Source organism: Homo sapiens, chromosome 7 (assembly GCF_000001405.40).
Source record: "Homo sapiens chromosome 7, GRCh38.p14 Primary Assembly".
NCBI lineage: Eukaryota > Metazoa > Chordata > Mammalia > Primates > Hominidae > Homo > Homo sapiens.
Window position 1 is genome coordinate 102,853,196 of NC_000007.14, and position 16,650 is coordinate 102,869,845.

The window sequence follows — 16,650 nt, forward strand, 5'->3', positions numbered from 1 at the left end:
AATAAAAGACTACAAATTGAGTACAGTACAGTGTACACTGCTTAGGTGATGGGTGCACCAAAATCTCACAAATTACCACTAAAAAACATACTCATGTAACCAAACACCACCCATTCCCCAAAAACCTATGGAAATAAGAAATAAAGTGAATTAATCAGTTTTCAAAAATCAATTCAAGATGGATTAAAGACTTAAACGTTAGACCTAAAACCATAAAAACCCTAGAAGAAAACCTAGGCATTACCATTCAGGACATAGGCATGGGCAAGGACTTCATGTCTAAAACACCAAAAGCAATGGCAACAAAAGCCAAAATTGATGAATGGGATCTAATTAAACTAAAGAGCTTCTGCACAGCAAAAGAAACTACCATCAGAGTGAAGAGGCAACCCACAAAATGGGAGAAAATTTTTGCAACCTACTCATCTGACAAAGGGCTAATATCCAGAATCTACAATGAACTCAAACAAATTTACAAGAAAAAAACAAACAACCCCATCAAAAAGTGGGCAAAGGACATGAACAGACACTTCTCAAAAGAAGACATTTCTGCAGCCAAAAAACACATGAAAAAATGCTCATCATCACTGGCCATCAGAGAAATGCAAATCAAAACCACAATGAGATATCATCTCACACCAGTTAGAATGGCGATCATTAAAAAGTCAGGAAACAACAGGTGCTGGAGAGGATGTGGAGAAATAGGAACACTTTTACACTGTCGGTGGGACTGTAAACTAGTTCAACCATTGTGGAAGCCAGTGCAGCGATTCCTTAGGGATCTAGAACTAGAAATACCATTTGACCCAGCCATCCCATTACTGGGTATATACCCAAAGGACTATAAATCATGCCGCTATAAAGACACATGCACATGTATGTTTATTGTGGCGCTATTCACAATAGCAAAGACTTAGAACCAACCCAAATGTCCAACAATGATAGACTGGATTAAGAAAATGTGGCACATATACACCATGGAATACTATGCAGCCATAAAAAATGATGAGTTCATGTCCTTTGTGGTGACATGGATGAAATTGGAAATCATCATTCTCAGTAAACTATCACAAAAACAAAAAACCAAACACCGCATATTCTCACTCATAGGTGGGAATTGAACAATGAGAACACATGGACACAGGAAGGGGAACATCACATTCTGGGGACTGTTGTGGGGTGGGGGGAGAGGGGAGGGATAGCATTGGGAGATATACCTAATGCTAGATGACGAGTTAGTGGGTGCAGCGCACCAGCATGTCACATGTATACATATGTAACTAACCTGCACATTGTCCACATGTACCCTAAAACTTAAAGTATAATTAAAAAATAGTAAATATTTAGCTACATTTTAATACTTTACATGTTATAACAATATCATTAATTTTGTTGTTTTTAAGCTTTATTTGTACTTGTAAATTTTTATTTTGTAGTTACTTAAGAACTAAAGGCAAAAGTGATTTATATTTTGCAATTCTGTTATTTCAATAAAAATAGTCCTTTTTATTCATTGGAAAAAAAAGAAAAAAAGAAAAATTTCAATCTTAATTCTTTAACAGATGATCTTAATGATCTTACCTGAATTCCATCATCAGTGATTCTATAACATTCAGATACAGAAAGTTCCTTCAATTTTTTATGTCTGGAAAGCACATTCAAACCCTAAAAATATTTAATATAAAGATCATTTTGTGATTATCATTTAGTATGGAATATATAGTTCCAATAACCATTTATACAAACTGACAACATAAAAAACCATTTATGAAAACTAATAAATTTTAGTTGCTGTCATATTTCTTTACACTTAACAAATCGTAAGACCACTTAGATTAGGCAATGCCATTAAGTAAAATTTTCAGGTTGTCTCTAATGTTTTACAAAAGCTTTTATGGAATCCCAGAGTCAGAAAACTCCTTAGGAGGTTATTATCTTGCCACTTGTTTCCAGATAAATGTTATCTGAATCAATATAAACAAATCCAACTTACTAATTTATTTTGAAGATACTTCATGTGGATAAAGAACCTATTTGTTAATATATTTTTATTTATGCCTAACCAAAACATCTAAAAATCTTTAGCTCATTTTATAATGATTAATCCCTTGAAGAGGAAGAGAATAGATCTTTATATAAAGGCCTAGAGACAGATAATCATTCAGTCATAGATCATTTCTTTTTCAGGTTAAAGGCCTTGGATTTTTTTAATTTAAAAAAAGAGATTGCACTTTCAGCCATAATTTTTTTTATGTGTGCTTGTGTTGTCCCATTTCTCAGTACTTTTTCCCCAAATTTACTGGCACAACACTCAGATAAGGAACTGACTAATGTGGCTTATTGATGCCATCCTTCTGTTTTTCAATCAGGATCACATTACTTTTATGTAATCCCATACAATGTACTTCTTAAACTAGGTGGACAAGAGCAGGGTTGTTCCCCCCACCACCCCCCAACCCACCCCTCACCTGCCGCCATTCTATGATTCCAGGGCTGGCTGGCAGGGAAAATACCAGAAATGACACATAGATTTGTCCTTTTTATATTTTATTTGCAGGATTGGTTTATATTTTATCGATCTTAAATACAACATTTGGACCACAATTTAAAATGGGCTATGCAAATATTATATCTTGTTTTTTTTGTTTGTTTGTTTTGTTTTGCTTTGCTTTAATTCCCAATGCACAGATTGGGCCTTCTCATAAAAAAAAAAAAGCCTGTATTAATAAAAATGTTTTATTTAAGCCTCTGCTTAAACTATGATTTCTAATTTCTTTTAATGGTATTGCATACCACTCCAAAATAAAATCTGTGAATTCTTTTAACTTTTTAAAAACTTTTATTTGCATTTATTTTATGCTGAATTTATTCCTGTGCCATAAGTTTTTATTTGTTTCTTCAGTTTCTTCAGGAATATCTTTTTCTTCTATGCAACCTCATTCTTTCAATTTGATTGTTGACTGTGGATTCTTTTGCTAGGAACACATTATGTTTTCTGCCTCCCTGTTTCAAAACAAAGTCTGACCAAATCCTGTGGAGCCATCACATGTGGTCTGGGTTCCAGATGTGGATGCTATTTTATTCATGTTAAAAGAATTGGAAGAGTTTAGATATTCCCCAATAGAATCCAAATTGTTTGAACACAAATATCAAGTAACAGATGCAAAGTTTGTCTCTTTACCCTATACTTGATAATAGCTAAGTATGTTTTAGTATGCTATAGAAAATTTGTCCTATGAAACTATCTCTGAAGTTTTCACTTAGATTTCACTTTTATGTAGTCAAGTTAGAATTTTTTAAGATAAGCTGTAAATGAAGTGCATTTGCTAAATATGACATATAACAACATATATGCTTACTACTTTATTCAAAATCATTAAAAATTAAAATATTAAAACAGAATGTCATGTCTCATCACTGTAATTGTTCATTAAAACATATGGCCTAAAAATTGAATTGATCAACATTATTAGCCATTAGATAAATGCATAATGACATACCACAACGTACCTACTAGGATGGCTATAATTTAAAATACAGATAATAAAATGCATTGGTGAGGATGTGGACAAACTGGAACTCTCATATACTGCTAGTGGAAATGTAAAATGAGCCAGCCACTTTGGAAAACAGTCTGCATTTCCTCAAAAATTAAACATAGAGTTATAATATGACCCAGCAATTCTACTCCTAGGTTTATACCCAAAAACAGTGAAAACATATGTTTACAAAGACTTGTACATGAATGTTTATACCAGCACTATTTATAATAAAATCCATGCATTCTTCAACAAATGGTGCTCTTCAATAAGTGGTGCTGGGAGAACTTGATATCTGTATCTAGAAGAATGAAACTAGACTCCTGTATCTCCATATACAAAAGTAAACTCAAAATAGACTAAAGAATTAAACATAAGACCTGAAACGATAGAGCTATTAGAAGAAAACAGGGGGAATGCTTCAGGGCATTGATCTTGGCAAAGATTTTATATAGCTAAGACTTCAAAACCACAGGCAACAAAAACAGACAAATGGGATGATATCAAACTAAAAAGATTATACACAACAAAGGAAACAATAAACAAAGTGAAGAGACAACCTATAGAATGGGAGAAGACATGTGTGAACTAGTCATACAACAAAGGACTAACATCCAGAATATACAAGGAACTCAAACAACTCAATAGCAAATAAACAAATGATCTGATTAAAAAGTGAACAAAGGAACCAAGCAGACATTTCTCAAAAGAAGACATATGTGAGGGCGATGTGGCTGTGATATCTGTCACCCCATTGATCACCAGGGTTGATTCGGCTGATCTGGCTGGCTAGGCAGGTGTCCCCTTCTTCCCTCACCGTTCCATGTGTGTCCCTCCCCAAAGCTGCGTGCTGGGTCAAAGAGGATAGCCAACCCTGATAGAGGAGGATGGGTTATTGGTCTAGGATACAAGTAGCTGCACTCCCCTGCTTGAACCTCCAAACCTCTCAGGAAGACATACAAATAGTCAACAAATATATGAAAAATCATCATCAGGGAAACGTACATCAAAGCCACAATGAGATGTCATCTCACCCCAGTTAGAATGGCTATTATCAAAAAGACAAAAAATAACAATGCTGGTGAGGATGCAGAGAAAAGAGAACTCCTATACACTGTTGGTGAAAATATAAATTAATACAGCGATTATGGAAAACAGCATAGAAATTTCTCTAAAAACAGAACTATCATATGATCCAGCAATCTCACTAGTGGGTATTTACCCAAAGGAAAGGAACTCAGTATATCAAAGGGATACCTACACTCCCATGTTTACTACAGCACTACTCACAATAGCTAAGATATAGAATCAACCCAAATGTTCATCAACAGACAATTGAATAAAGAAAATGTAGTATATATACACAATGGCATACTATTCAGCCACAAAAAAGAATGAAATCCTGTCATTTGCAGCAACATGGATGAGCCTGGAGGACATGATGTTAAGCAAAATAAGATAAGCACAGAAAGATAAATACCACATGTCCTCACTCATGGGAGCTACGAAAAAGTAGAGTACAATTGTGGGAATTAGAGGATGGGAAGAGTGGCAGGGAGGGAGGATGGGGATTGGTTGGTTAACAATTACAAAATTATAGTTTAATAGGAGGAATGAGTTCAGGTATTCTGCAGCACTGTGGGGTGAATATGGTTAACCATAATTTATTGTATATTTTCAAGAAACTAGAAGAGAGGATCTTTAGTGCTCACAACACAAAGAAAATGATAAATATTTGAGGTGATGGATACTAACTACCATGATTAGATCATTACACATAAGGAAATAACACTCTGCATTCCACAAATATGTACAATTATTATGTGTCAACTAAAAATAAAAGAAAAAAGTGGAAACCCAAATGCCTATCAGTTGATGAAAGGATAAATAAAATGTTAGGTCCATACAATGGAATATTATTTGGTAATAAAAGTAGTACTGATGCATGCTACTATATGAACGAAACTTGAAAATATCATCCTAAGTAAAAGAAGACAGACCCAAAAGGCCACATATTGTTTGATTCCATTTGTATGAAGAGTCCAGAATAGGCAAATATATAAAAACAGAAAGTAGATTAGCAGTTGCCTAAAGCAGGCTCAGGGTGGGACAGGCATAAGGAGTGACTGCTAATGGGAAGGGCTTTTCTTTTGGGAGTGAAGAAAATGTTCTGGAATTAGATTCTAGTGGTAGTTCCACCACAAACAAACATACTAAAAACCACTGAATTGTATACTTTAAATTGGTGAGTTTTATGGTACATGAATTATGTCTCAATAAAAAATGTTTAAAAAAAGATTGATGTAATAATTGTATAAGTACATAAAACTCAGAAAATATTCCTACAGCATCCTTAAGTCCAAGATGAATACAGATGTTACCCACTTTTAATATATTTTTGTTAGCAACTTCAGACCCTGATGACAAAAATAGTAGCAAAACGGGGAGCAAGAGATGTCACCCTGCTCATGTGTTAGACAAGTAACTAGAAGCCCTTTCTGCTGTAAGTAAACACATCTTTGTAACTGAGCAGCAACAAATCGAGCCGGCAGAGATGAGGCCTCCACTAAAAATTGCCTCATGCTGGTTACAGGAGGCCAGTGAATTTCACTGCCTAATAAGTGAAACACACTATTTCAGGCAACAGGATTCACTTTTAATGTGGGTTTTTTTTTTCTCAGAAACTTTTTAGATTAGTGACCTAAAGAATGTCAGAGCCAGCAAGGTAAATATTCTGTTTGGCACTGTGAGGTTCATAAATGCTCCAAATTAGGAGGTGTTCTCTGAAACAAGTGACATTTACATTTTACAGATTTCTGATGCCAAGGTTTTAGCCCTGGGAGGGACAGGAAGAGTGGAGTGGGAAGAGTGGAGTGGGAAGACAGGCCAAAAATGAGGAGGCAAGAGGTAACAGCAAGATAGAGTGACTCGGTCTCAGTGGGGCAAAGGGCAGATTGATGCTTACCTTTCAGGAAAGCTGTGGCATCACTGCAATGGAAATCATCCTTGGTCTCCCTCATAAGTCAGCCAAACTCATGAATGCTTTTGCTGGAGAGAGGTTTTGCTTTTATTTTCCCAAAGCATAAAAAGGGACTACATTTTATGGTCAGCTGAAGTGCAGAGGAAAGCAGCTGGAGTGGTGGCCTGGGGAAGTCACCAGCATTGCAAGTTGCATGAGAATGTGAGGCACCAGAAATTCACAGGAATCCTGGGGAGCACTTTGCTCCTCCATTGCTAATGGAATTAAGGGGCCTGAATCTTAGGGGCCCAGGAGTCCTGAGTGGAAAAGTGGCTTCGTTATAGCTCCAGTATCACGTTCATTGAGGGGCATATCAGGACATAAGGCTCAAAAGGAAGCAAGCACCAAGTCACAAGAACCTCGTACATTATTCTAAGGAATCTGGACTTCATCCTATGCAACAGAATTAAATAGAACTTTCTCTCTCTGGGGAATATGAGTGGGTACATAAGTCACTATAATGAGGTTCCTTATGTACCAACTCATTCTCTACAGAAAGAATGAAGTATGTGTTTCAAGAGAGCTATAGGGACCACACAGCAGGGAATGAATGCTTCCAGTTGGAAGAAAGAGATGGCAGTCTAGAAAAGAGTTTCACAGAGGAAGGAGATTTTGAATCAAGCCTTAAAGATTAAGTATCATTTTGACAAGTGAAACAATGGGAACAGTGTTTCAGGCCGAAGAAATAGCATGGACAGAGACTTCATGTGCAAAGTGTGAGTTGTTGGGAAGTAGTTCAGTTTGGGGTCACTGGGAGTAGTGGGAGGGAAGATGGAACACTGCCAGGAACAGACACATGCACACAGACATTTGAGAGCAGACAAATCCTTGAACACTACACTTTCCCCACACTTTTTCATCTGGAATTGTTTAGCTGATGTACATAGACAATGTCAATGAACTAGTTACCAAATGTTGGAATGCTCTGTGTGTGTGTGTGTGTGGTGTGTACTTACTATACGGCTGAGTCATACTACATCTGGCTTAGACTATCACCAACATAAACAGAAAACATGCTTCCCCAACTCTCTATTTTGAAAATATTCAAATGTACGGAAAGGTTTAAAGAATGGTTATAAAGAATACTGACATACACTTCATATAAATTCACCAATTATAAACATTTGCCACATTTATTTAGTTGAGTGTGTATATGAACATACATATTTTATTCATATATATGTATGAATAAAATTTTATATACATATGCATAGTTTATATATAGTTATATATATATACACACACATATATATATACACACAAATATACATAAATTTCCCTGAACTACTTGAAAATAAGTTTCAGATATCATGATGCTTTATCCCTAAATATTTCATGTGCATCTCCTTAGGAATAACGACATTTTCCTATGTAACTATGTAGTATTATGCATATATAGTATAGACATATATAGTATTATGACACCCAAGAAAATGAACAGTAATACTGTAATATCTAGTACAAAGTCAACATTCAAATTTTTTTGTATCCAAGACCCAATTTGTGCATTGGATTTGGTTATCATGTCTTTTTAGTCTTTTTTTCTTTAAATTTTTCTTTTAAGACATTGACTTTTTTTAAGGGTCTAGGCCAGTTATTATGCAGAATGTCTCACATTCTGGATTTTTCTAATTGTTCCTTATGATTAGATTCAAGGTAAACTTTTTTTGCAAAAATACTCCTGAATTATTATAGCATCCCATTGGGAGGCACATATGTCCAGTTGTTCCACAACTGGTGATGCTGTTGGGCCACTTGGTTCAGAAGATGACTACCATAGATCTCTTTATTAGAAGAGGTATATTTACCCCTTTTTATTTAAAAAGTAATTTGTTGAGATGTTATAGTACACCCAGAATATTCTGCAAACATGAGAAGTGTTTGTTATAAAGAATATATAGTAACATACTTAGGTTCAAAAAGCAGTACACAAAATTATATCTGCAGGCCGGGCGCGGTGGCTCATGCCTGTAATCCCAGCACTTTGGGAGGCCAAGGCAGGTGGATCACCTGAGGTCAGGAGTTCACGACCAGCCTGGCCAGCATGGCAAAACCCCATCTCTACTAAAAATACAAAAATTATCCGGGCATGGTGGCAGGTGCTTGTAATCCCGGCTACTCGGGAGGATGAGGCAGGAGAATCGCTTTAACCCAGGAGGCAGAAGCTGTAGTGAGCCAAGATCGTGCCACTGCACTCCAGCCTGGATGACAGAGTGAGACTGTGTCTCCAAAAAAAAAAAAAAAATTCACATCTGCATATGTGTGTGTATAGTGTATGTATATGTGTATTAAAAGAAACAGACGTTTTGGGCAGGGCGCAGTGGCTCACGCCTGTAATCCCAGCACTTTTGGAGGCCAAGGCGGGTGGATCATGAGGTCAGGAGTTCGAGACCAGCCTGGTCAATGTGGTGAAACCCCGTCTCTACTAAGAATACAAAAATTAGCCAGGCGTGTAGTCCCCGCTACTCGGTAGGCTGAGGCAGAAGAATTGCTTGAACCCAGGAGGCGGAGGTTGCAGTGAGCTGAGATTGCACTACTGTACTCCAGTCTGGGCGACAGAGGGAGAATCTGTCTCAAAAAAAAAAAAAAAAAGAAAAGAAATGGACGTTTTGGAGGGTGCGCAATGATATGAATATGTTTTTTCATTATTCATATTTCTTTTTGTATTACTAGTGTTTGTGAAAATAGCATAATTTGGAGGAAAAACCCAATATGTGTCTGTTATTGAATATTTTTGTGTATCAACAAAGAATTATATAAAATATTTACACTAGGCTTTATTTCTTTATACAAAGCAACACAGTTCTGGTTAGTTTACTTTCTATTCTAAACAAACCATCAGCACAAATGTGCTAATATTCAAGCAAAGTACTCAGCTATGAATGTTAACATGTACAAGTATTATATACATAGATGAACAGTTTTACTTTACAAAAATTGATGGATACTGCTCTATCTTCATATTACTTGACCCAGCTTTGAAGCCTGACTCTGCTGACCATCCCCTGCTTTTTGAAATAGCATCTTCCTTGTTTCTCATGATATTACTCTGACCTCTGTCTCCACCTACTTCTCTGGATGTTCGTTTTCAGTTTCCTTTGTAGGTTCATCTTCCAAATCTATTCAATACATACTGATGTTCCCTGGAGCTTGGAACTTGACCTTCTCTTCTCTTTGTGACTCTCATCCATGGCTTTGACCACTTCAGCCATCTCTAGATCTAGCCCAGATCTCCCTCCTGAGATACAGATCTTGTTCTCTAACTGATAACTAGACATCTGAATGTGTCATAGGCACCTCTAACTCAGCACTGTTACTTTCAGAGAACTAGAATTCAAACTGGAAGCCATGAGATTTCATTGAGCTCTTCCTATTCTTTTTGCTAGCTTCAGTCAGGAGTCTGTGAAAGATGAATGCTCATGATGGACTTTCCTTTGATTTAAATACAATGGCTCCTTCCTCTGCATTTTGTACCTTTATGACCCTCTTTATAGGGCTCCAATTTCTCTATATGGGAAATCTATATAACCTAGGGTATTTGATATTTGAATTCAGGATATTGGAAAATGCACTCTATGAAATAAGATGGAATGGGGCACCCAGGACTCCAGGATGTAGTTACTGGGGGTATAGATCATGGGAAATCTAAAAAGTCCCCCGACAGTCAGTAAACATAAGAAGGCTTCTTTCATGCCTTTTTAATTTGTTTTTAAGGATAAAACAGAGTATAAGTTTTTGCTGTGATAGAGGGGATAAAATTGGGGGGGGGGATGGTACTGAAAATCCTTGTGTGAGTTTTCTTTCAGAAATGCTTGAATTTGAACACACTGAATTCCTATGATTCCAGATATCCTGAGGAAAACAAAGCAAAGTAAAACAAAACAAAAACAAAGATTCCAAAAGTCAGATGGATGTTTGTCTTCTCTGTCACCCAGAATCAAAGGGGCCCATAGTTTAGAGAGATGTGCTAGTACTAGTATTAAACATGTCCAAAATGGAATTCAGTATCTTGTCTCCAAGCCCTAATTGCTCTCCTAGGTTCTTTTCCTGGTTTGTGGCACCACCATGTTCACAACTGACCAAATAAAAAACCTGAGCATCGTCTATGTCTCCTCTCTGCCTCCCTGTTCCCCATATTCAGCCAATGAATAAGCCCTACCAATGCCACCCCCTAAATATCTCTCAAATCTGCCCCCTCTGCCGCCACTATCAAAACCTCATTATTTCTAGCTATCATTGCAATTGCTCATCCTTTCTTCAATAGATCATCCACACTGCCACCAGAGTTATGTTTCTTGTGCACAAATCTGTCCTGCTCTCCTACTCAGAGTTCTTCAATGGCTCCTACTGCATACTGCATGTAGCCTGAATTGCTGTGCAGGGCACTCAAGGCCACCCACATTCTGCCCTCCATCTCTTTCTCCAGCCTCATCTCCCTCCACATCCCCTCTCTTCTCTGGCCATGCTCTGACAGCACTGAGTTATCTGTGAATCCCAACACATAACCCTCCTTATGCCTCCAGGCCTTATCATCTGCTTCTTCCTCCAGCTTTCAGCTGCATCCCAAAAGCTAAAAAGCTTCCCTTGACTCCTCCACAGAGACAACAGAGACAAGTGTTCATTTTTTTTTTTAAGATGGAGTCTTCCTCTTGTCGCCCAGGCTGGAGTGCAATGGTGCAATTTCGGCTCACTGCAACCTCTGCCTCCTGGGTTCAAGCGATTTTCCTGCCTCAGCCTCCCAAATAGCTGTGATTACAGGCGCCCGCCACCATGCCCAGCTAATTTTTGTATTTTTAGTAGAGATGGGCTTTCACCATGCTGGCTAGGCTGGTCTCGAACTCCTGACCTCAGGTAATCCACCCTCCTTGACCTCCCAAAGTGCTGGGATTACAGGTGTGAGCCACCGCACCCAGCCAAGTGTTCATTTTCTAACTCATCTGTGCTGTTGTGGTGCAATGCCTCCATCTCCTTTTCAGCAAACAAATCTTATGTCAGAATTCAAATAAATAATCACTAAGATGCATATAGTGCTTGCCATGTGCCAGCTTACATGCATTGCCTTACTTAATCCTTATAACAACACTGTGAGGTAGGTAATATTATAATCACCATTTTAAAGAGAAGGAAATGGAGGCACAGAGAAATTGAGTAACTTGCCTGCGGTCTCAAAGTGCCATGGCACCAGCTGAGATATGAACCCATACTCTGAATTCATGCTTTTAGTAACTTTTAACTATACAGTGATGTTGCTTTTCTTGTTGTTATTTTGCCATTAGACTGTACCTTGAGACCAGTACTCTTTCAGTTTGGTACTCCCAGAACTTAACAATGTGTATGATATATAGTTGACAATGAGTAAATATTTGTTGAGTGAATCAGTCTACCTATAAAATTATCTATTTATACGGACTCAATTTTCTCTTATCTTGCTGGCATACTCTCAGAATTTTTGGATGAAATGCATTTCCGTTTGGAATTCTTTGAATCAGGGTTTACATTTCACATGCTTCTTTCTGAAAGATTTGCTCTGTTTGGTATTGCATACTGCATTCTTTCAGAAATAAAGAACAAAAGTTATACTTGGAAATATTTATTATCTCAATTAGCACATCCTCTTTCTAAATTCACTGATAATACTGTCATGTACAATGTTCTCGAAAATTTCTCTTCATCTCCCAAGCGATCTTCCCTTTTCTACTCTAGTTAGTAATTATGCTTTTATAAATATAATGTACCTTTTCTTCTCAATATTTTATTTACTTATTTTTGTGTTTTTTTTGTTTGATTGTTTGTTTTTGTTTTTGTTTGAGACGGAGTCTTGCTCTGTCACCAGGCTGGAGTGCAATGGCGTGATCTCAGTTCACTGCAACCTCTCCCTCCCAGATTCAAGCAATCCTCCTGCATCAGCCTCCCAAGTAGCTGGGACTACAGGCACGCGCCACCATACCTGGCTAATTTTTGTTTTTTTTTTTAGTAGAGACGGGGTTTCACCATGTTGGGCAGGATGGTCTCGATCTCTTGACCTCGTGATCCGCCTGCCTTGGCCTCCCAAAGTGCTGGGATTACAGGGGTGTGCCACTGTGCCCAGCCTATTTTATTTTACTTTTTAAGAGACAGTGTCTCGCTGTATCACCCAGGCTGATCTCAAACTGCTGGGCTCAAGGGATCCTCCAGCATCAGCTTCCTCGGTAGCTGGAACTACTAGTCTTCTCAATTATTTTTGTTTATTTCTACTTAATCAATTGTTAGTATGAATTTTGTAATCATATTTCTTTTTAAAATGTATCAACCTCTCTGACCTAATTTATTGACCTACAAGTCTAAAGGAAAGCAAGCTTTGATCACCACACAGACATAGATTCTGTATTGTGATGCTTATAGAAGGAAGGAAAATTGGCATCTCTGTTACCTGAAAGTAGACCAACTTGCCTTGAGACTGTTTGCCTCCTACTTGATGGAGGTAGAGAGGAGAGTCATGCTGCCAAAGATCCATCTTGAGGGAAGTGACAGGCTCAAGTTGGTCGCTTCTGTTTGCAGTGTTTTTAGTAGGCACTTTGCTAGAAACAGGAGACAATGGACCATAACCTCTGTGAGAAGGAACCACTATCACTAGCTTGATGGGACCAACATAGTCATGTAAGGCCACTGGCTGGAGAGAAGGGCCTGAGGAGGACTAGGAGAGGTCCAGCTCCATATGAAAAAAAACCAAAAGCCCATAACTGGGCAGACTTCTTGTTATGTGCTTTTTGAAAATCCACGGCAAATCCATTTGTCTCTGAACTACCGTGCTTCCTTTCAACTCTCATTCTTCCTATTTCTTGAATCCCAAGTGATTTCATGTGTTTCCTGCTTTAGAGGTTTTGCTTCACTGGACTCAGGCTTTATTTTTGTGTGTGTTCCATGCAGATGGGTGGTCTCTTGCAATTGTATCATCAGATTAAGACACGCAGCTGTAAGTGCTTCCACTCCAGCCCAGAGCATAGCTGAGACAATGTGGAATTTAAAGAAGACTTAAGTGTTTGGTTAAGAGGAAGGAAATGGTGCCAGATTCATTCATTCACTCACTGATCAAACATTTTATGTGCCTCCTATGAACATCTTGCTAGGCATCCCAAAGATGGGATGGTCCTGTCTCTGCTCTTGGGAAGCTTACAGTGCTATAGGGAGACAGGCATGGAACAGACACTAGAATATAACAAGCTGATTGCTTCAGTAGAGACATATACAAAGTGCAGTGGAAATACAAAGAAGGAGATCCTAAGCCTGCCCAGAAATTCTAGGAAAGCTTCCCCACAGCTGAAACTTAAGAGATAAGCAAGGCCAGGCATGACAGCTGACGCCTAACATCTCAACACTTTGGAAGGCCAAGGCAAGAGGATCACTTGAGCCCAGGAGTTTCAGCCCAGCCCAGGGAACATAGCAAGACCCCATCTCTACAAAAGAAAATTTGAAAAATCAGCCAGTCATGATGGTATGTGCCTGTAGTCCCAGCTACTTGGGAGGCTGAGGCAGGAGGATCACTTGAGCCCAGAAAGTTGAGGCTGCAGTGAGCTATGATGATGCCACTGCACTCTGGACTAAGTGACACAGAAAGACTCTGTATCCAAAAAAACCCAAACAAACAAACAAAAAAAAAGAAGAATTTACTAGGTGGACAAGTAGTGGAGAAGGTGTTTCAGACAGAGGGAATAACTTGTAGAGATGGGGAAACAAGAACACAGCATGTTTGAGGAGCTGTAGGAGAGTCAGTTCTGTGTGTCTGGAGCTGAGGATGAGAGGCGGGAGTCAGCTGGAAGCAGGGCTGCAGGGGTGGCCAAGGGCCGCCTCAGGAAGAGCTTGGTCCACCAGCCCATTGATACTGTAAGCAGTGTGGAGTCCCCAAGGAACTCTGAGCCAGGGAGTGATAGACTTAGACATATATATATATATATATATATATATATTTTTTTTTTTTTTTTTTTTTTTTTGAGACAGAGTCTTGCTGTGTCGCCCAGGCTGGAGTGCAGTGGCGCAATCTTGGCTCACTGCAAGCTCCGCCTCCCGGGTTCATGCCATTCTCCTGCCTCAGCCTCCTGTAGCTGGGACTACAGGTGCCTGCCACCATGCCTGGCTAATTTTTTTTGTATTTTTGGTAGAGACGGGGTTTCACCGTGTTAGCCAGGATGGTCTCGATCTCCTGATCTCATGATCTGCCCACCTCGGCCTCCCAAAGTGCTGGGATTACAGGCGTGAGCCACCGTGCCCGGCCAGATATTTTTTAAGTTTTGTTTTTTACTGACACAAAGTAATTGTGCTTATTTATGGGATACAGTGTGATGTTTCAACACATGTAGACATTGTGTAATGATCAAATCAGAGTAATTAGCATATCTATCACCTCATTGATCATTTCTTTGTGGTGAGCACATTTAGAATCCTTTCTTCTAGCTACTTTGAAATATACAATAATACATTATTGTTAACTATAGTCACCCTGCTGTGCAATAGAACACTAGAACTTATTCCTCCTATCTCACTGTAACTTTGTACCTATTGACCAACCTCTCCTCATCTCCCCTCACCACTCCCTCCCCAGCCTCTGGTAGCCATTATTCTCCTCTCTACTTCTATGAGATCCCCTTTTTTCAGATTCCGCATATGAGTGAGATCATGAGATATTTGTCTTTCTGTGCTTGGATTATTTGACTTAACACAATGTCCTTTAGGTTCATCCATGTTGTCACAAATGAAAAGATTTCACTCTTTTTTGGGCTGAATAGTATTCTATTGTGCATATATATATATCACATTTTTAAATCCATTCATCCATTGATGGACACTTAGGTTGATTGTATATATTGGCTGCAGTGCACACGGGAGTACAGATATCTCTTTGACATACTGATTTCATTTCCTTTGTGGTTTTTTTGTTTTGTTTTGTTTTGTTTTGTTTTTGAGATAGTCTCACTCTGTCACTCAGGTTGGAGTGCAGTGGCACTATCTGGGCTCACTGCAACCTCTGCCTCCTGGGTTCAGGCAGTTCTCATGCTTCAGCCTCCCAAGTAGCTGGGATCACAGGTGTGCACCACCATGTCCAGCTAATTTTTGTATTTTTAGTAGAGACGAGGTTTCGCCATGTTGGCCAGGCTGGCCTTGAACTCCTGGCCTCAAGTGATCCGCCTGCCTTGGCCTCCCAAAGTGCTGGGATTGCAGGCATGAACCTCTGTGCCTGGCTTGATTTCATTTCCTTTGGATATATACCAAGTAGTGGGATTGCCAGAACATATGATAGTTCTATTATTAATTTTTTGAGGAACCTCGCTAATGTTTTCCATAATGGCTGTACTAATTGTAATTTCCATCAACAGTCTATAAGAGTTCCCCTTTCTGCACATCCTCGCCTGCATTTGTTACTTTTTGCTTTTTGATAATAGCCATTCTAACTGGCGTGAGGCAATAGCTCATTGCAGTTTTGATTTGCAGTTCCCTGGTGTTAATGATGTTGAGTATTTCTTCATGTACTTGTTGGCCGTATACATGTATGTCTTCTTTTGAGAAATATCTATTCAGGTCTTTTGCCCATCTGATTATTTGTTTTTCTGCTATTGAGTTGTTTGAGTTCCTTGTATACTCTGGATATTGAACCCTTGTCACGTAAGCATAGTTTGTAAATATTTTCTCCCATTCCATAGGTGGTCTCTTCACTCTGCTGTTTCCTTTGCTGTACAGAAGCTTTTTAGGTTGATGTAATACCATTCGTGCATTTTTTTTCTTTTGTTGCCTGTGTTTTCGAGGTACCATCCAAAAAAATCTTTGCCCAAACCAATGTCCTAAAGTGTTTCGTCTATTCTTTATTCAAATAGTTTCATATTTCTGGCTCTTACATTTAAGTCCTTAATCCATTTTGAGTTGATTTTTGTATATGGTGAGAGATAGGAATCTAGTTCCATTCTTCTGCATGTAGCTATCCAGGTTTCCCAGCACCATTTATTGAAGAGAATGTTCTTTCCCCAATGTGTGTTCTTGGTGCCTTTTTCAAAAATCAGCTCGCTATAAATGTGTGGGCTTATTTCTGGTTTCTCTATTCTGTTCCACTGGTCTGTGTGTCTGTTT

The 16,650-nt window shown here is 38.6% G+C and overlaps 1 protein-coding gene and 1 pseudogene across 20 annotated transcripts in view; one reads left to right on the plus strand and one right to left on the minus strand.

The window, feature by feature from the left end:
• The window catches only part of FBXL13 (F-box and leucine rich repeat protein 13), a 263,608-nt gene that overhangs the window by 42,007 nt on the left and 204,951 nt on the right, over positions 1-16,650 (minus strand). For 17 of the 20 annotated variants that reach the window (NR_105043.2, XM_017011850.3, XM_005250207.5 and 14 more), the window contains one exon: positions 1,582-1,665. The exons of 2 other annotated variants lie outside the window; for them this stretch is intronic. Coding sequence is in view for 16 of the 18 variants with exons in the window: in XM_017011850.3 (XP_016867339.1) it covers positions 1,582-1,665 (84 nt within the window). In the remaining 2 variants the exon portion in view is untranslated. Of the gene's footprint in view, positions 1-1,581; positions 1,666-16,650 lie in introns of those variants that run through there. One more of the 20 variants, XR_927410.4, reaches the window with a different exon arrangement.
• On the plus strand, positions 4,257-4,488 carry RN7SKP198 (RN7SK pseudogene 198; annotated as a pseudogene).